This window comes from Homo sapiens, chromosome 9 (assembly GCF_000001405.40).
Source record: "Homo sapiens chromosome 9, GRCh38.p14 Primary Assembly".
Taxonomy (NCBI): domain Eukaryota; kingdom Metazoa; phylum Chordata; class Mammalia; order Primates; family Hominidae; genus Homo; species Homo sapiens.
The window spans coordinates 125,694,572-125,714,097 of record NC_000009.12 but is presented as its reverse complement, the minus strand read 5'-3'; the positions used below and the strand labels follow the sequence as shown (position 1 = coordinate 125,714,097).

At 42.5% G+C, this 19,526-nt stretch overlaps 1 protein-coding gene across 6 annotated transcripts in view, besides 5 other annotated features; it reads left to right on the top strand.

Annotated features, from left to right (window-relative positions):
* Positions 6,517–6,676: an enhancer, noted in NCBI's record as "active region_29014". NCBI's record gives its function as "activates an Ori minimal core promoter by ATAC-STARR-seq in GM12878 lymphoblastoid cells {active_cell/tissue: GM12878}" and the evidence as "EXISTENCE:reporter gene assay evidence [ECO:0000049][PMID:35858748]".
* Positions 6,674–6,968: an enhancer, noted in NCBI's record as "tiled region #13831; HepG2 Activating DNase unmatched - State 1:Tss, and K562 Activating DNase unmatched - State 1:Tss". NCBI's record gives its function as "activates a minimal TATA promoter and a strong SV40 promoter by Sharpr-MPRA in HepG2 and K562 cells {active_cell/tissue: HepG2 | K562}" and the evidence as "EXISTENCE:reporter gene assay evidence [ECO:0000049][PMID:27701403]".
* Positions 6,677–6,846: a silencer, noted in NCBI's record as "silent region_20279". NCBI's record gives its function as "represses an Ori minimal core promoter by ATAC-STARR-seq in GM12878 lymphoblastoid cells {active_cell/tissue: GM12878}" and the evidence as "EXISTENCE:reporter gene assay evidence [ECO:0000049][PMID:35858748]".
* The window catches only part of MAPKAP1 (MAPK associated protein 1), a 269,815-nt gene continuing 257,178 nt past the window's right edge, over positions 6,890–19,526 (top strand). For all 6 annotated transcript variants that reach the window (NM_001006621.2, NM_001006620.2, NM_024117.4 and 3 more), the window contains exon 1: positions 6,890–7,127. The gene's annotated coding sequence lies outside the window, so the exon portion shown is untranslated. The remainder of the gene's footprint in view (positions 7,128–19,526) is intronic.
* Positions 6,957–7,186: a silencer, noted in NCBI's record as "silent region_20278". NCBI's record gives its function as "represses an Ori minimal core promoter by ATAC-STARR-seq in GM12878 lymphoblastoid cells {active_cell/tissue: GM12878}" and the evidence as "EXISTENCE:reporter gene assay evidence [ECO:0000049][PMID:35858748]".
* Positions 17,255–17,994: an enhancer, noted in NCBI's record as "H3K27ac-H3K4me1 hESC enhancer chr9:128458383-128459122 (GRCh37/hg19 assembly coordinates)". NCBI's record gives its function as "activates a minimal SCP1, AML or CMV promoter by ChIP-STARR-seq in primed H9 embryonic stem cells {active_cell/tissue: H9 hESC(primed)}" and the evidence as "EXISTENCE:reporter gene assay evidence [ECO:0000049][PMID:30033119]".

Below are 19,526 nucleotides of genomic sequence, written 5' to 3'. Positions count from 1 at the left end.
ATGTTTTCCCTATGAGAGGAAACACCCATGTTTTCTCTATGAGAGGAAAAACCATATTTAAATAAAAGACCAAAATTGGGAAGAATATCAGGGAAACATATTCACACATATAAAATATTGAGATCACACATTTGCAGAAAAGCTAGAAGATGCCTCCGTTTCCCCAAAGCTTTGGCAGGGTTTCAAAGTGTTACTTTCATCCTATCACATGTACTCTTGGCTTGTTGGCATACATTTGGCAAAGAGGTATTTTTCCATGTGAAAATAATGCTTATATAAAATAAGATTTCCTCAAATCTTATGTAATCTTAAAATCTTATAATCTCTTATAATTTTTTTTTTTTTTTTTTTTTTTTTTTTTGAGACAGAGTCTCACTCTGTCACCAGGCTGGAGTGCAGTGGCGCAATCTTGGCTTACTGCAACCTCCGCCTCCCAGGTTCAAGCAATTATCCTGCCTCAGCCTCCTAAGTAGCTGGGACTACAGACTCGCGCCACCATGCCCAGCTAATTTTTTTGTTTGTTTGTTTGTTTGTTTGTTTTTTGAGACGGACTCTTGCTCTGTCGCCCAGGCTGGAGTGCAGTGGCGCAATCTCGGCTCACTGCAAACTCCGCCTCCCGGGTTCACGCCATTCTCTTGCCTCAGCCTCCCGAGTAGCTGGGACTACAGGCACCTGCCACCACGCCTGGCTAATTTTTTGTATTTTTAGTAGAGACGGGGTTTCAGCGTGTTAGCCAGGATGGTCTTGATCTCCTGACCTCATGATCCGCCCGCCTTCGCCTACCAAAGTGCTGGGATTACAGGCGTGAGCCACCGCGCCCGGCCTAATTTTTGTTATTTTTAGTAGAGACGGGGTTTCACCATGTTGGCCAGGATGCTATTGATCTCTTCACCTCATGACCGCCTGCCTCGGCCTCCCAAAGTGCTGTCTTATAATCTTAAAAATAAGATTGCCTCATTTCATGTGCATATTTTGAGCACCTTTTCATTTAACACACATTACCAAGTGCTTATGGTGTTTTTAGCTTTTAGTATATAAACAGAAATAAACATCCCATTCCTCATGGCCCGTTGGGGAGACAGGATATGTATTAAAAGAACAACAGAAATGTGATAAACGGTCAGCACAGAGAATAAAGTTCTTCATGTGTCCTGTTAGGGAGAAAAGGTGATCTAGGAAAGCTTTCTGGGGAAGTAATATGTAAATTGAGCCTTCAACAATGAATAGGATATACTTAGAAATGGGTAATATGGTATACATATATGTATATATCTCCACAATTTTATATATATATACACATATATATACACATATATATGTGTATATATATATACGTGTATATATGTGTGTGTGTGTGTGTGTATATATATATATATATATATATATATTTTTTTTTTTTTTTTTTTTGAGACGGAGTCTCTGTCACCCAGGCTGGACTGCAGTGGCTGGATCTTGGCTCACTGCAACCTCCACTTCCCGGGTTCAAGTGATTCTCCTGCCTTATCCTCCTGAGTAGCTGGGATTACAGGAATTAGCCGCCACCACGGCTGACTAATTTTTGTTTTTTTTTTTTCAGACGGAGTCTCGCTCTGTTGCCAGGCTAGAGTGCAGTGGCATGATCTCAGCTTACTACAACCTCCGACTCCCTGGTTCAAGCGATTCTTCTGCCTCAGCCTCCCGAGTAGCTGGGACTACAGGCACCCGCCACCATGCCTGGCTAATTTTTGTATTTTTAGTAGAGATGGGGTTTCACCATGTTGGCCAGGATGGTCTCAATCTCCTGATCTCGTGATCCACCCGCCTTGTCCTCCCAAAGTGCTGAGATTACAGGCGTGAGCCACCATGTCCAGCCAAGAACTGTAGTTTTAAAAATCACTTGCACATTAGAGCGTACTCTGTTAGAATTCTGTCATTATGTTATACAGAAAGCCAAGATAGCCACCAGACAGGCCACAAGGAGAAAAATCAAGATAGTCTGGCCAACATCTGCTGCCATGAGTGAGGCCATTTTAGTCCTTCCAGGCATTCTAGCTTCCATCTGACGGCAATTGCATGAGCAAGCCCAGGATAGATTGGCAGGAGAAACACCTATCAACCCACAGAATCCTGAGAAATAATACATGGTTGTTGTTTTAGGCTGCCCCCCAAAATGAATTGGAGTTTGCTGAGTGGAAAGGCAAACAACAATTGAGGCTTGAGGGGCTGTGAGGAAACTGAATGTGTGAAGGGACCTGATCCTTACTGCCCATCTTGGCGTGCCGGGCCAGAAGAGCTGGCATTTATGCAACACCTCCTGTATACCAGGCACTGTTCTAGTTACTCTCTCTGCAGTACCTCATGGAATTCTCACAACAACCTAGATGAGAAAACAGACACAAGAAAGGCAAGTAACTTGTTGAAGGCCACACAGGTAGTAGGTGTTTTTTTTGTTTTTGTTTTTGTTTTGTTTTATTTTGATTTTTTTGAGACAGAGTCTCGCTCTGTCGCCCAGGTTGGAGTGCAGTGGCATGATCTCGGCTCACTGCAAGCTCCGCCTCCCAGGTTCACACCATTCTCCTGCCTCAGCCTCCCCAGTAGCTGGGACTATAGGTGCCTGCCACCTCGTCTGGCTAATTTTTTGTATTTTTAGTAGAGACGGAGTTTAACCGTGTTAGCCAGGATGGTCTCAATCTCCTGACCTCATGATCCGCCCGCCTTGGCCTCCCAAAGCGTTGGGATTAGAGGCAGGAGCCACCACGCCCGGCCCGGTAGTAGGTGTTTTTGAACTTCTGCCCACTGACCCTCTCTAGTCCCGGGAACCAGAAGAAAAAGAACCTCCACCCCCTAACATGGCTTCCTTTCCAAGCTGGAGATGAAGGCTGTGAAGCCTGATTGTCATAGGTATGCCCAGGTACCTGTCCCGCTGCCCTGATGTCTATGGGAGTCCCCTAGCCAGCCCCTGGCCCAGCACCATCAGTGTGCTGTAAAAATGTTATTTTTGTGGCCGGGTGTGGTGGCTCACGCCTGTAATCCTTGCACTTTGGGAGGCAGAGGCAGGCAGACCACAAGGTCAAGAGATCGAGACCAACCTGGCCAACATGGTGAAACCCCGTCTCTACTAAAAATAGAAAAATTTGCCGGGTATGGTGGCGGGCACCTGTAGTCCCAGCTATTCGGGAGGCTGGGACAGGAGAATGGCTTGAACCTGGGAGGCGGAGGTTACAGTGAGCTGAGATCGTGCCACTGCACTCTAGCCTGGCGACAGAGCGAGACTTCATCTCAAAAAAAAAAAAAAAATTTGTATGTGTGTTAGCTCTCATGGTCCTACCACTGTACACCCCAGGTCAGGAGACAGGTCAATGTATGCTTTAATGACACTTCCACCAATACAACTCCTGCTTCTTGGAGGCTCATGCCATCCAATTAGTTTCTCCTCTCTCCTCCTCATCTACCTCCCCAGTGCTGTTCCTCAGTTGCAGATGCCATGGGGAGCACGTCTGGTTTCCTTTTCACCCCATGTCTGTCCACCATCTTGGGATGGACGTTCACAAGGATCTCAGTTCCTTGACTATCTCATCTTCAGTGATTTTCCCCCCATTCCACTTTAGCTGGGACCCCCTCTCACATGGCTCCTCCTCTGAGGTTATTTGTTGAAACATCCATCTGTGACAATAACCTCCATCCTTCTGCTTTCCTTCATCAGTGACTTCCATTACATCTATTTGAGACCTTTAGGCCAGTGATACCTGTTTTTCTGGAATTCTCTTGCTTCCCTATCCAGCATACTTTCTATGGCTCATTGTTTTAAGCACTCTTAAAAGCTGATATGACCCCATCACACCTGTCTGGCAAAATCCTTCCTTGGATCAATCCAACTTCTCATTCTTTGGGTGTGTGTATCGTGACTGCTCCAACTAGCTATAGAATAATCACACTAGCCATCATATTAGTATCACCATACATTTAGTCTCCATTCTCAACTGGGCCCTCAATACTGTCCTTGAAATCCTACCATATATCACTGCATGCCAACTTACCACAGTAACTACAGTATTTCAAACCCATAGTCGAACTTGACTACAAGGCTTCTTAAGGGTAGGGTCCCCGTCTGGCTTTTTCACCACTGAATCTCAATAGGCACTCAATAAGTATTGCTTACTGACTGAGGTATACTCATACTGGTAGGCATTAGTAAATAATAGTCACATGCCAGGCTCTGTTATATGTAAGCTACATGTATTAGGTCATTCTATCCTTGCAACAAACTAATGAGGTTATGTAGGACTTCTGTCATTCCCATTTTCCAGGTAAAGATAAGAATATTTAGAGAAGCAACTTGGAGAGATGAAGTCACAAAACTTGTAAGTGGCAGAGTGAGTATTCACTTTTTATTTTTCTAATTTTTTTTTCAAGACAGGGCATTGCTCTTTCATCCAGGCTGGAGTGCAGTGGCATGATCACGTCTCACTGCAGCCTTGACCTCCCAGGGCTCAAGCAATCATCCCATCTCAGCCTCCCAAGCAGCTAGGACTACAGGCATTCACCACCACACCTGGCTAAAAAAAATATATGTGTATATGTGTGTGTATATATATATTTTTTTATTTTTTATTTTTTTGAGACAGACTCTCACTCTGTTGTCCAGGCTGGGCTGCAGTGGTGTGCTCACTGCAACCTTCACCTCCCAGGTTCAAGCGATTCTCCTGCCTCAGCCTCTCAAGTAGCTGGGACTACAGGTGTGTGCCACATGCCTGGCTAATTTTTCGTATTTTTTTTTTTTTTTTTTTAGTAGAGACAGGGTTTCACCATGTTAAGACAGGATGGTCTTGATCTTCTGACCTTGTGATCCGCACCCCTTGGCCTCCCAAAGTGCTGGGATTACAGGCATGAGCCACCGTGCCCGGCCTATATAGAGATAAATTTTTTAAGGTAGTGATGGGGTCTCACCATGTTGCCTAGGCTGGTCTTGAACTCCTGGGCTCAGATGATCTTCCTGCCTTGGTCTCTCAAAGTGCTAGGAAATATTTACTCTTTAGAATCTATAACTGCTTAGCAGTTTTAGATAGGTCGAGTTTTATGTGTCTAGGAGACAGTCAGGCAGCTGTGCTTCAGATTGGAACTCGAGAGAGAGAGAGAGGAAAATGGAGAGTAAGATTTAGGAAGGAACAGATAACCTGGTGACCTCAGAAAATCAAATATCCAAACTTGTTCACACCTGCTGCTTTGTTAGAGTGCCTCTGACAGGTCCCTGATGGAACTGTGGTGGTGTGTGTGCAAGAGTGTGTCTGGGTGCTGAGGTGCACTATTCCCCCAGTATAGATATGTGGTAAGATACCAATTACATAAAGTAATGGGATGTAGTAAGAGATCAATCACATATGGTCATGCGTGGAATGAGGATGTTTTGGTCAATGACAGAGTGCATATGATGGTGGTCCCCTAAGATTATAACATGGTCTTTTAATTGTACCTTTTCTGCATTTAGAGATGTTTAGATACACAAATACCATTGTGTTAGAATTGCCTACAGTATATGGTACAGTAACATGCTGTACAGGTGTGCAGCCTAGAAGCAATAGGCTAATACCAAACAGCCTAGGTGTGTAGTAGGCTCTGACATTGTGTAAGTACAGTCTATGATGTTTACACAACCACAAAATCAGCTAACGATGCATTTCTTGTGTCCTCATCATTAAGTGATGGATGACCATATTTGAAATACATGGGTAGACCCACCGTGTTTTTTGTTTTTTTGTTTTGAGACAGAGTCTCTGTCACCCAGGCTGGAGTGCAGTGGCCTGATCTTGGGTCACTGCAACCTCTGCCTCCCGGGTTCAAGCCATTCTCCTGCCTCAGTCTCCTGAGTAGCTGGGACTACAGGTGCACACCACCACGCCAGACTAATTTTTGTATTTTTAGTAGAGACAGGGTTTCACCATGTTGGCCAGGCTGGTCTCGAACTCCTGATCTCAAGTGATCTGCCCTCCTCGGCCTCCCAAAGTGCTGGGATTACAGGTGTGAGCCACCGTGCCTGGCCCCATGGCATATTTATTAATAAGTTTAAAATTGGGCAGGGGTCCCTCAGGGCTGAAATTCAACCTTGAGTTTTTTCTTTTGCTAAGGTGCGTTTTTGAGAGACTTCCCCAAGCATCTTTCAGGTGGGAGAACCACTCTCACTGCACTCCCTGAATCCTTTTTCCCCCTTCATCGTGGCTTTCTCTACTGATTTCCTCCGTGAGAGAGGAAGGGAGCAGCATGAGACACACTGAACTTCTGCCCTGTGCCAGTCCTCCTACATCTCCTGGAAACCTCCCAGCAGGGCTTGAGGAAGATTATTGTCACCTCCATATTACAGATATTATAATAAGAGAAATAACTAACATTGACTGCATGTTTACTATGTGTCAGGCACTATGCTGGGTGTTTTTCAAGCATCATCCCATTCGATTCCCACAGCAATATACTCTAAAGTTGAAACTATTGCCCTGGATGGGAAAACCCGAGGCTCAGAGAGAAGTGTCACATCCTAGGACACACAGCAAGTTATAAGAGCTGGCATTTGAACCCAGGTCTTTCTCAGAGAGGCTGAGCTGCCTCATCACTCATTTCTGGACGAACTAAGGGCTTTTCTCCGTGGAAATGGGGAGAAAGAAGATTCGATGGAGAAGCCTAACACTGATTCCTGCTCAAGGCAAGTCCAGGCACTGGCGCATCTTGCCAGAACTCAGTCTCCGACCCAGGCCTTTCCCTGCACTGGAGAAGCGGCGCGCATGCGCCCGGCCTCCCTCCCGGCCCCGCCCCGCGGGAAGCTACCGCTCCTTGCTTTCAGCTCTGGGGCTTGCGCACTACGTCCCCAGCCAGAGGCTCCTTCCCGGTCGGGGACTTCCGGAACGCCGGGGTGTGGTTCCGGGTCGTGTGCGGCTCGGGGTAATAGGGCTGCTGCTCGGCCGGCCGGCGGCGGCGAGCAGCAGGGGCATGAGGGCTAACCCGGGAAGCGGCAGCTGAGCGGGCCGGGAGGAGCGCCGGTCCCCGTGGATCCCGAGAGTGCAGAGCTCGGGGCAGGGGCCGGGAGGCGTGGGGGAGCCGGGCCCTCCCCTCAGGAACGTGTCCCGGGGCCGACCCGGCCCGTAGTGTGGAAGCAGCTTCAGGTAAAGGTTGCCCCAGCCGCCAGCTCCCCGCCCGTCCGTCAGCCCACCAGCTTGCCCACCTGGCGGCCCTCTCACCCCTCCAGTTTCAGCGCTGCCCGGCGGGCCGCCTGCCGGGCCCTTGTTCAGGTGGCCCGGGCGCGTTCGTTTCCTGGCCATTTCCAGAACTGGAGGCTGTCAGGAGTCTGAGGCGGGTGTGTGGTTTAGGGGAAAAGAAGCCAGCTGACCTGGTAGTGTGGGGGTGGGGGGTGTAGTTGACTCCGGCAGTTTCTGGGCCTGCACTTGGCAATATCTAGGTGCCCTGGTCTTCATAATGTGAAAATCAAGGTTTTCAAGCATTGACTGTGTGGTCCTTGTTTCCTTGCGTCCCTTCTCCCCCTCCCCCTTAAAGAGGTTAACAGCCTTACAGACTTTTTTCTAGCTACAGTGCTGCTGGAACTTTGATTCATTCTTTGTTTATGGGAGTGGCAAGGAGTCATTTAGATTTGTTTAAGGCTGGGAAAAAGAGATTGTAGCGTAAACAAGATTATGACTTTAACCAGAGACCCCCAAATTGACTCAGAAATTGGTTAAAACTTCCTTTTGAATGAATGAAAGTCACTTTGGAAGCCCACCACAGTACCTGGCACTGTACAAAGCACCATGTTGTTATAAACCCAAATCGGCAAAGTTCAAAACTTTCCCAGGTGTGAAGAGTCAAATGGAGACCCATTGGTTTAAAAAAAGCAGCGTTCTCATTCTCTGACAAGCAGGAGAGGTGGATCCGTAATGTTAAAACCCACTTGAGCAGAAGCCTAGATATGGGTTTTATTCCTTATATTTTATGAGCCCACACAAGGTACCTAGTAAACACGGAAAGAGTTCTTGATGAAGCAATAATTGTTTTCATGTTTTTCAGTTTACACACCTGCGGGATTTGGGGCATGCTGGTAGCCCTTTCCCATTCATCTGTGTGCTCATGCCTACCTTCAACTACTGTGTGTCCCAGACTGCACTTACACCCCCTTACATCTCCTAATCTGGCTCCTGGTTACCTTTCCAGTTATGCTTGAAAAGGTCTCCTTCTTTAATTACCCCATCCTGATCCATTACTCTGAATAAGTAGGATCTCTAATCATTTTTGTTCTTTCCTATTCCATTGATTTTTGTAGAACATTCTCCCTACCTTGCCTAGGTTTCCCCTTTTCTCTTTCAGTCTATTGAGACGCTTCCCACGGCTCAGCTGAGTTGGCCTCACCCAACCAATTCAGGACAACCCCACCTGGAAATGATTTTTCCTCTAGAATTCTATAAGCGCTCATTTTTATCTACAATTATTTAACTTAGCAAATGTTTACTGAATATGGATATGTATATATATGCCAGGTACCATGCTAGGCAATTAGAGATAAATATAAGATTCAGTCTTTGCTGCCAGGGAGCTCAATTTAGTGAAAGAGAGATAAGGGAAATGAATAATTCTAACACCGTGATAAGTACATTGTGTGAGAGTTCTTGTGACAGTGGTAGGTGCGGGAGGGGAATGGGTTATTCACCTTTGAGGGATGGGATGTGGCCAGGTAATGCTTCATAATTTGAGGTAAACTAAACTTTGAGTATTTGGGTATTATATAGGGGTTTCTATTGTTTAATCATTTTAACCTCAATTTACAGATTAGGAAGACCCATAATAAATTACACAGCTGGTAGGAGACAGAGCCAGGATTCAAACCCAGGTCTGTCTGATGCCTAAATCTGTGCTTTTTCCATTACATGTCTTGCCTTTTTCTCACATCATCTCCCTCTTTTTATGCAAGTACATATTGAAACCAAAAGTTATATAGGACAAAACATATGAATGTTAAAATGAATGGTACAGAAATCTTTTAAATGTAAAGACTGTGCTCTTCCAAGGCAAGGAGATGGCAGGTAGGTTAGTTAGCTCAGCTTTGAATATGAGCAGAGAAGACAGTCTATAGAAAATAGGCATGGACTCTGGATTCAATTCCTGGTCCCTGTTCTTACAGGATATGTGACCTTCGACACATAACTCCAAGCATCACTTTCTTCAACTAGGGGTTGGGTTAGGGAATAATATTGACCACATGGAGTGTTGTGAATATTTATTGAACTAATGGGGATAAAGGGCCTGGTACGTGGTAAAGTCCCCCGAAATAAATAGCTATAAGATACAAAGGTATAATGCTTGAGGCATGGTTTTAGACTGGTGAGTGAGTTTACAGCCTGAGTCATGCAAGTCATTGCTTCTTTTAGCAGGGTACAAGGACGTAAAGTTGGAGGGGCGGTAGGGGTCAGAGTCAGTGAGGGCTTGAGTACCAGGCAAGGGAGGTAAATTCCAGTTTCTGCTAATAACTTTTCCAGTTAATAAATACTTCGAGGATCTACGATTCATTTCAGCAGTGCCAAGCAAAATGTTAGACCTTGGGGATACAAAAAGAAGTAAAATTGGGTCCCTATCCTGAGGTTATTGACATTCTAGTAGAGGAGATGTCTGTGTGTGTGCAGGTGAACCATAATAAAGTACTGTGGGTTCTAAGGTAGAAGTCCCCAGGAGGTACCATAGAACACTGAGAAGGAAACACTGATGATGGTAGGTAATGAGTACTTACTCTGCTGGTGTGATGTTAAATGCTTTATCTCATTTTTTTCTCGTGTGAGAAGGTGTTATTAGCATCCTGATTTTACAGATGAGGAAACTGGGGCACAGAGACCTTGAATAACTTCCTTGAGTTTATGCTGCTGGTAGAGCTGTAAGATAGAGGGGATTATCTGCTGAACACTGAGATCGGCACTCTTCATTACTACACCATGTTGCTTGTTCTTTGTGATGTGGATGCGGACCCTCTGGAAAGGCTTCAGAGAGAAACTTGCCCTTGAGCTGTAGCTTCAGTGTGCCAGTCATTGTGAGACAGGAGGGATCACGAGGAATGGAAGTGGCCTTTGCACTAAAGGAGCTCATAGCCTTATCTGTTACTTTAAATGTTTTTCTTTTTTGGTGGGGGAGCTTGTTTTGCTTATTGACTTATACCTGAAGACTTCAGAAACTTTTGCAGTTGAGTGGATTTATATGATTCAGCCTAAGATAATTTGCTGGCAATCTGTTATTCTGATGTATAGGCCTTACTGTTACGGACGCAGTTGTAGATGTCAAATTATTATATGACAAGGACTTCTGTCACGTTACTTGTTTTTTTTTTTTTTTTTGAGACAGTCTTGCTCTATCACCCAGGGTGGAGTGCAGTGGCATGATCTTGGCTGACTGCAACCTCTGCCTCCTGGGTTCAAGAGATTCTCTTGCCTCAGCCTCCCAAGTAGCTGGGACTATAGGCAGGTGCCACCACGCCTGGCCAATTTTTGTGTTTTTAGTAGAAACGGGGTTTTGCTGTGTTGGCCAGGCTGGTCTCAAACTCCTGACCTCAAGTGATCTGCCTGCCTCGGGCTCTCAAAGTGCTGGGATTACAGGCGTGAGCCACCATTCGTGGCCACATTACGTTTTTTCCCTATGGGAGGTGCCCTGACTTGTTTCTGTGAGTTCGAAGTTTTTGTGAAGTTTTTTGACTCAGAAGTCAGCATATTTCAGCTTGTGTTAAATTTAAGAGGCTTAGTGGTTAAATATGTTACTTAAGAGTCACAGAGCTAATGTGTGATAGAGCCACAAAAAACTGGCCAAAAAAGAGTAAACAAATCTTCATTAAATTATTATTATTGTTCTGTTTGAGCATCTTCCTCAGTGGTCTCCAAGTCCGATGCCTGTTATGTACTAGGATGAGTAGGCTGGGCCTTGATGAACTGGAGAGCACGGGCCCAAACTAAAGGGAGCAGTTGCTGCTCAGCTCCACTTGCTTGTTGCCATGTGAGGAAGTGGGCCCAGTGTCCTTGGATCTTTTGACACTTTTTGGAAAAGATGCTGGAAATCTGGATTTTAATTTATTCTTATTTATTTATTTAACTTTTAGAGACAGGGTATCGTCCTATCAGGCTAGAGTGCAGTTTCGTGGTAATAGCTCACTACAGCCTTGAATTCTGGGCTCAAGTGATCCTCCCACCTCTGCCTCCCCAATAGCTAGGACTACAGGCGCATGCCACTATGTGTAGCTAGTTTTTTTTTTTTTTCTTTTTTTGAGACAAAGTCTCGCTCTTGTTGCCCAGGCTGGAGTGCAGTGGCATGACCTTGGCTCACTGCAATGTCCGCCTCCCGGGTTCAAGCGATTCTCTTGCCTCAGCCTCCTGAGTAGCTGGGACTACAGGTGCCCATCACCACGCCCAGCTAATTTTTGTATTTTTAGTAGAGACAGGGTTTTGCCGTGTTGGCCAGGCTGGTCTTGAACTCTTGACCTCAAGTGATCCGCCTGCTTCAGGCTCTCAAAGTGCTGGGATTACAGGGGTGAGCCATTGCATCCGGCCATGTACTAGCTAGTTGTTGCTTTTATTTTTTTTGTGGGAAGGAGTTTCGCTCTTGTTGCCCAGGCTGGAGTGCAATGGCGCGATCTTGACTCACTGCAACCTCCACCTCCTGGGTTCAAGCAATTCTCCTGCCTCAGCCTCCTGAGTAGCTGGGATTACAGGTATGCGCCACCACGCCTGGCTAATTTTGTATTTTTAGTAGAGGCGGGGTTTCTGCATGTTGGTCAGGCTGGTCTCGAACTCCCGACCTCAGGTGATCCACCTGCCTTGGCCTCCCAAAGTGCTGGGACTACAGGCGTGAGCCACTGCGCCCGGCCTAATTTTTAAAAAAATTTTGTAGAGATGGTGTCTATCTATGTTGCCTAGGCTGGTCTTGAACTCCTGCCTTCAAATGATACTCCTGCCATGGCCTCCCAAATTGTTGGGATTACAGGTGTGAGCCACTGCATGTCGTGGATTTTAATGTATTTAGTTTAAAAATTTGCCATTAAAAATTATGTTGATCAAAACATATTTGTGGGCTGAGTGTAATTCTAGGCTGCCTGATTGTGAACTCCAACCTACCTGGCTGCTGAAATTTTGGTACCTGTTGTTCAGAGCAGGAAGTATACAATACAATGTTTTGATTATTGATTAGAAATCTCATGGTAAATTGCCAGTGTGAGGGGGCATTGTAGCTTGCGCTGATAGTTTTGGAGAGTGGCAAGGTCAATGCTTTTATTGTATAATCAAGCTAAAGTATAGATCTGGCTGGTGAGATGACCTTATAACACTTCTATTTTGTGCTCTTAGCACTTTAAATGCTACCAGATTTCTTGTCTCTTGGCCCTCTCCACAATAGTATGAAGTGGTATGGTAAATTTGTTAAATGCTCTTGTATACCTTATTTTCTTTAGTCTTCATAGTCCTATGAGATAGGTAGTATTACAAAGGGGGTAATCATCACCTCTTGAGATGAAGAAATCGGCACCCAGTGAATCACAGTTTAGTGGAAAGAGCAGTTGACTAGAGAGGGTGTTGCATCCTGAATATGCGGATACCACTAACAGCCAGTGAATCACAGTTTAGTAGCAAGTGCAGTTGACTAGAGAGTGATTTGCATCCTGAATATGCGGATACCGCTAACAGCCTTTGGAGTTTGGTCACGTCACTTACAAATCCTCGGATCTTTTTTCCTTTTTGGATAAATAATGAGGAGTAAAATTCAAGTCTTGCTGAAATTCAATTCGTAATATCCTATACTTGAGTATACTTTTACTAATATACTTTTATTACTGATGCAAAGTATACTGAATGTGTAAAACTTCAAAAAAATAACATTTTCCAGTTCCCTGCGGACTCATTTTAAGGTACTGTGTTACAAATAAGTACCATTTCAGCAGAGAAATTGGTAGAAAATTGAAGGAATGGTTTTCTTTTCGGGATGCCAAGCTTTCTGTTTCTAATTGATATGCTTAAAGTCACACAACTGATTACTGGCAGACTCCAGTGGAGATGACTCAAATCTAAAATGCTGCCCCTCCTCTCTTGCTGGCAGGTCAGGAACCACTACTCAGCTCTTCATCTGTTCTTTATTCATTACTTCCTCTGGGAAAGGCCCTTGATGGGCCAGGTGCTCCCCCAGTGCATGCAGTGCCTATTGACTATATGTACTCAAGATTGAAAGGGGGCGTAGAGACACCCAGCACAGTGAGAGAAATATGGTCAGGGAGTTCCCAGCCCAAGAGTTTAATTTATTTTTATTTTAATACCCAGCTTTCACAAGGTGAAAATTGAAGAAATACTGGTCTTGTAGATACTTGTTTTCATTCATACTCTATTGTATAAGGAAATAACAGAATATAAAAATAAAGGGAATAAATCCTGAGCAGTCATTCAAAATTTATTAACTCTAGTTGGCAGCAGTCTAGATATATTGGGGAAATGGATTTAATATAGGCAACACAAAATTTGGACTGAAAGTAGAATACAGTTTTATGTAATTGAAAGTGAGAAAAATGGGAGAAACCACTTAAAAAACAAACCCGAAACTCTAGAAAGAACAAGAAGGTATTAGAATAACTATTGGAATTAAGTTATAGTAATTGCTTGTGAAATAAGTGGAATATTATGTCACATTTATGCCTAAATATAAGCAGTGTTAGATTCTTAATATCCTATACGTGAGTATACTTTTATGAATATACTTTTATTATTGATGCAAAGTGTACTGAATGTGTAAAACTTCAAAAAAAATAACATTTTCCAGTTCCTTATGGACTCATTTTAAGGTACTGTGTTATAAATAAGTACCATTTCAGCAGAGAAATTGGTAGAAAATTGTTTGAAGGAATGGTTTTCTTTTGAAAATAAAGCGAGTATTTAATCTGAACCTTAGTTACTGACATAAAGGAGACTAACGAAGAACTGAAGTGCAGACTTGAATTTTAAGCAGTGTGACATGGGGCTTTGGGCAGACCCGCTTGGATTTGATTATTGGCTTTGTCAGTCTGTAAGCTGGACAGTCTGCAAAATGGGGACAGTAATGCCAATCTCACATAGTCCTTAGTGAGGACTAAATGAAACAATATATGTAAGTACCTTGTAAGTACTGTAGTGCTTCTGGAGAGATGCAGGTCCAGGCTGAGCATCCCTACTCAAAATATTCAAAATCTGGGCCAGATTTGCTGGCTCACACCTTTAATCCCAGCACTTTGGGAGGCCAAGATGAGTGGATTGCTTGAGCTTGGGAGTTCAAGAGCAGCCTGGGCAAAATAATGAAACCCTGTCTCTACAAAAATATTAGCCAGGCATGGTGGCGCACATCTGTAGTTCCAGGCTGAGGTAGGAGGATTGCTTGAGCCCAGGGGGCTGAGGCTGCTGTGAGCCATGATCACACCACTGTACTCCAGCCTGGGCAACAGAGCAAGACTGTCTCAAAAAAAAAAAAAAATCAAAATCAAAAATCCTTCAAAATTCAAAACTTTTCGAACTGACATGATGCCACAATTGGAAAATTCTATGCCTGACCTCATGTGACAGGTTGCAGTTAAAACTTTATTTCATGCATAAAATTATTAAAAATACTGGCTGGGTGAGGTGGCTCATAACCAGCAATCCTGGGAGGCCAAGGTGGGAGGATTGCTTGAGTTCAGGAGTTAGAGACTAGCCTGGGCAACACAGCAAGACCTTGTCTCTACTAAAAATCAAAACAATTAGCTTGGTGTGGTGGTGTGTGCCTGTAGTCCCAGCTACTTGGGAGGCCGAGGCAGGAGGATCGTTTGAGCCCGGGGTGTCAAGGCTGCAGTGAGCCATGATTGTGCTCCTGCACTCCAGCCTGGATGACAGAGGGAGACCCTGCCTCAAAAAAGAAAAAAAAAGTTAGTATAAAATTACCTTCAGGCTATGTGTGTAAAGTGTATATGAAATATAAGTGAATTGCGTGTTTAGACTTGTGTCTTATCCCCAGGATACTGCATGATATATATGAAAATATTCCAAAATTCAAAGAAAATCCAGAGTCTGAAACACTTCTGGTCCCAAGCATTTTAGATAAGGGATGCCAACCTCTAATGGCATTCAGGGCATAAGACATTCAGGATGTTAATATGATGTAATAAGCAATGATTTGATGGAGTGGTCATAAAAGAGTGAGACTCATTTTCATGTCTGGATCATGAAATTTGTTAATTTCTGTTGTGTTTTGTAAATTAGTGCACCTACATACTGTATTGAGAGAAGGACTTTAGGATGCTGTTTTTAAGCTATTATGTGAATTGATCTGCTGAGTAACAAGAAACACTTCCAAGTGTTTATATTATCTTTTTTGTGCCTGTAACTGCTCTTTGTTAGAAAAGGGATATTATGTTATCCCCGTCCCCATTTTACAAATGCCGAAACTGAAGCTTAGAGAAGTAATGTAATTATTAATAAAAATATAGAGCTACCGGGCCGGGTGCGGTGGCTCATGCCTGTAATCCCAACACTCTGGGAGGCTGAGGCAGGTGGATCACCTGAGGTCAGGAGTTCGAGACCAGCCTGGCCAACATGGCGAAACCCTGTCTCTACTAAAAATACAAAAATTTGCCAGGCGTGGTGGCACACACACGCCTATAGTCCCAGTTACTCGGGAGGCTGAGGCAGGAGAATTGCTTGAACCCGGGAGTCGGAGGTTGCCATGAGCCAAGATTGCGCCATTGCACTCCAGCCTGGGTGACAAGAGTGAAACTCCATCTCAAAAAATATATATATTTTATATATATATATATATATATATATATATATATATATATATATATATATTTATATATATTATGTATTATATATATTTATAAATTATATATTTATATATTTTGAGATGGAATATATATATACACACACATATATATACACATATGTGTGTGTATATATATATACTTTTTGTATATACGTATAGAGAGAGCGAGAACGCGCATGCGTGAGTAGCAAAACTAGGACTTGACCTTTGTTTTGACTCAGAGTACTGAAAAGCACTATTACTTTTTTTTTGGAGTTGGGGGTCACTTTTCCATGCTGCTCTGGATTTGGATATTGGGACTGGCCCTGTCTTGGGACTGTCATTAATTATGGCCCTTTGCCTTCATTTAAACTTAATGTTTACAGAAAGTTATTATTGATTATATTGTGAGAGTGTTTGATTATAGGTATAGTGTTATGATATGAAGCTTAAGGATTTGATGAAAATACTAATACTCATTGATAATAAAGATTGGTGGTAAGATGGTAAGATGGTTACTCATATTGATAGTGGGAATGTAAATGAGTAAAACTTTTCTGGAAAGCACTTTGGCAGTATTTATTAACAAGCTTTTAAAAAAAGTTATGCATGCCTTTTGAGCTTGTAATTCCATTTCTAGGAATCTTTATTAAAGAAATCAGAGATGTCGAAAGATATTCGTGTTCAAAGATGTTCACTGCAGCAGTATTTAGCAAAAATTAGAACCTTAATGTTCAATAAAAATTAGAGAAATCATGGAAAATTCATAGAATGGAAATAATATACAGTCATCTTAGATGTTTCAGAAGAATTTTAGTGACATACTAATATGCTAACCATATAATAAGTGAAAAAAGGATATGACACTCTATAAAGTATGGTCCCAATTATGTCAAACATGTATGCAAAGAAAAGAAATAGGTGGTGAGATTATAAGACTTGATATTTTTCTCAGTTTTAGAAATGTTCTTTGATAAACAAATTATTTAAAAATAAATCATAGTTTAAAATTGATATTAACAAATATGAGTAGAGTCAGTGACCATCATTTTAACCAATAGTTTTCACTAATGCAGGTGATTGTGAAGTTGTAAATGGATTGTATTTTCAAGTTAGTTTTCACCTCTTTTATTTTGCACTTAGAACATGGTTTCATATGTCCTGACATAAATGATGTTACTATTCCCAGGAAAGCCTTCTTTTCCCCCAAAAGTCCTATTTAAGACAGTATTCTGGAAGAAGAGTTGTATTCGTATTGGTGGTATCATTATCCCGGTGCTACCATCACCTCTTCAGTGGCCACAGGGACAACGAGTAGGCCTGTGACAGCTCCGTCTTTACTTTCAGAGGGAGTCCACTCCTATCTCTGTGGAGTTGAGGTTGGCCTTTGGTAGATAGAGATAGTGAGTTGAATGCTTACGTATTTGGGAAGTGATTTTTTGGTATGGAAAATTATGTGTGTTAAGGTAAACTGAGGCATAAGATTTTAGAGTTTATTTGCACAAACAGCGATTCATGAATTGGGCAGCTTCAAATCAGAAGTGATTCTGGGGCTCCATTGAGGGAAAGTAAGCGGGGGAAGCTTTTGTAGGAAGACTGTGGAAGTAAAACAAAAGATTTGATTGATTAGTTATACAGTTGATCACTACCATTGGAAAGTCCTCAGTTACATAAGTTTGTTGGCTGCTTCTGACTAGATAAGCTTAAGGTTTTTTGTTTTTTTTTTCATATATGCATTTATAAGACATATCTCAAGTTTTGCCTATGTTTGCAAATCAAACAAGGTTAAGGTCATTTATAAGGCCTAACTAGTTTTGTCTGCTTGAATTTTTCAGACCAGGTCTGATTTTTTTGTTTTGTTGTTGTTGTTGTTTTATTTGTTTTTTTGTTTGTTTGTTTTTTGTTTTTTTTTTGTTTTTTTTTCGAGACAGGGTTCTTGCTCTATTGACCAGGCTGGAGTGCAGTGGCACGATCACGGCTCACTGCAGCCTCAACTTCCTGGACTCAAGCGATCCTCCCACCTCTTCCTCCCCAGCAGCTGGGACTACAGGCATGCACTACCACGGCCTCCCAAATTGTTGGGATTGTAAGCATGAACCACTGCATCTGGCCAGGCCTGGTCTGTTTTAATTTATTTTAACAAATGTGAATGTCTGTCTCACTTATTTTATTTTGTGAGAAGAAGATTGAAGATCACGTTTGTTTGGATTTCAGTTTTTCTGATAGCAGTAGTTAGTAAAAATATGAGTGTTAAAATATGATGAATTGTTGCCTTTTACTCTTTTCTAATTATCATATACTTTATAATTGAAATAGTTTCAGGCTGGGCACAGTAATCCCAACACTTTGGGAGGCTGAGGCAGGTGGATCACCTGAGGTTGGGAGTTCAAGACCAGCCTGACCAACATGTAGAAACCCCGTCTCTACTAAAAATACAAAATTAGCCGGGTGTGATGGCACATGCCTATAATCCCAGCTACTCGGGTGGCTGAGGCAGGAGAAGCAATTGAACCCGGGAGGTGGAGGTTGCAGTGAGCCAAGATTGCGCCATTGCATTCCAGGCTGGGCAACAATGGTGAAACTCCGTCTCAAAAAAAAAAAGAAAGAAAAGAAATAGTTTCAGCTTGTACAGTTAAGCATGATGGCCAGTTAGGTTTGTTTTTTTCAAATGCGCATACTGATTCTCTTATGTACAATATAAAAATGTGCATACTGATTCTCTTATGTACAATGCAAAAAATTTACCGAAGTATTTGAGCATATTTAAATTAGGAAAATATCAGGCAAGATGTTTCTTTTGTAAACTACTTCTGTCCAAAGCATTCTGTATATTATCAGAATGAAAAATGACAGCACTTTGTCATCTGTTCAAATTGATATTGCACTCTTTGCAATGACAGCTGAAAAGGCCCACAGGTGCCATATAAAGAGGTGACCATGTTGTCATATTTCATTTCGGCATCCCTCTGCAAAGCCATAATTACCTAATTAGGTTGTTAATTAGGAGATTAGCATTTCACTATATTGATAGAATGCTCTTTACCGGCGTGGGGTGAGATACAGATTTGTCTGCTCTAATTTATAATCTCTGCCTGTTTTGTACTTATTTATTTGCTTAAGATGCTGGTATGGGGCAATTCAGTTTACCTGAGAAACAGTTTACAAGCGAATGAAGCTTTGATCACTGGATTAAAGTTGCTGAGTTAAAATACGGACACATCCCCAAAATTAAAATAAAAATTCCAAGTTGGTATAACTTGTATTATTGTTAACACAGTCAACAAACACAATAAGAATTCACATTGTTGGTATAAAAAATTCAAAATACAAAAACTTAAGTCTGAACTATGACAGAGATTTATCTATCCTAAACTAGGCAAAATAAATTATTTTAATTATCTTCAATGACAGACCTCTGTCATTTATACTTGGGACTTATAAGAATATGCTAAATGTTTTGAATGTATTTAAGAAACTGAAGCTTGGTTAATAACTTCAGAACAAATATATTGAGTCTTCAGTTTAGACTTCCTTAGATAGTCATGCATCAGGGCTTATTTCATTTGTACCTTCTGTCCATTAGTCTGTGCTTGGAACATTCCCTTCCCACAGTCTTTGCAGTACTGAGGGGCTTATGGAATTTGAAGTATTTCACAGTAACCTTCACTTGGTGAGCTATTTGGAGTAAGCACGGTTTCTATAAAGTGTGTCTAACATTCTTTTGGGAGAGGGGGCGGGGAAAACGATTTCCATACATTTTCTCT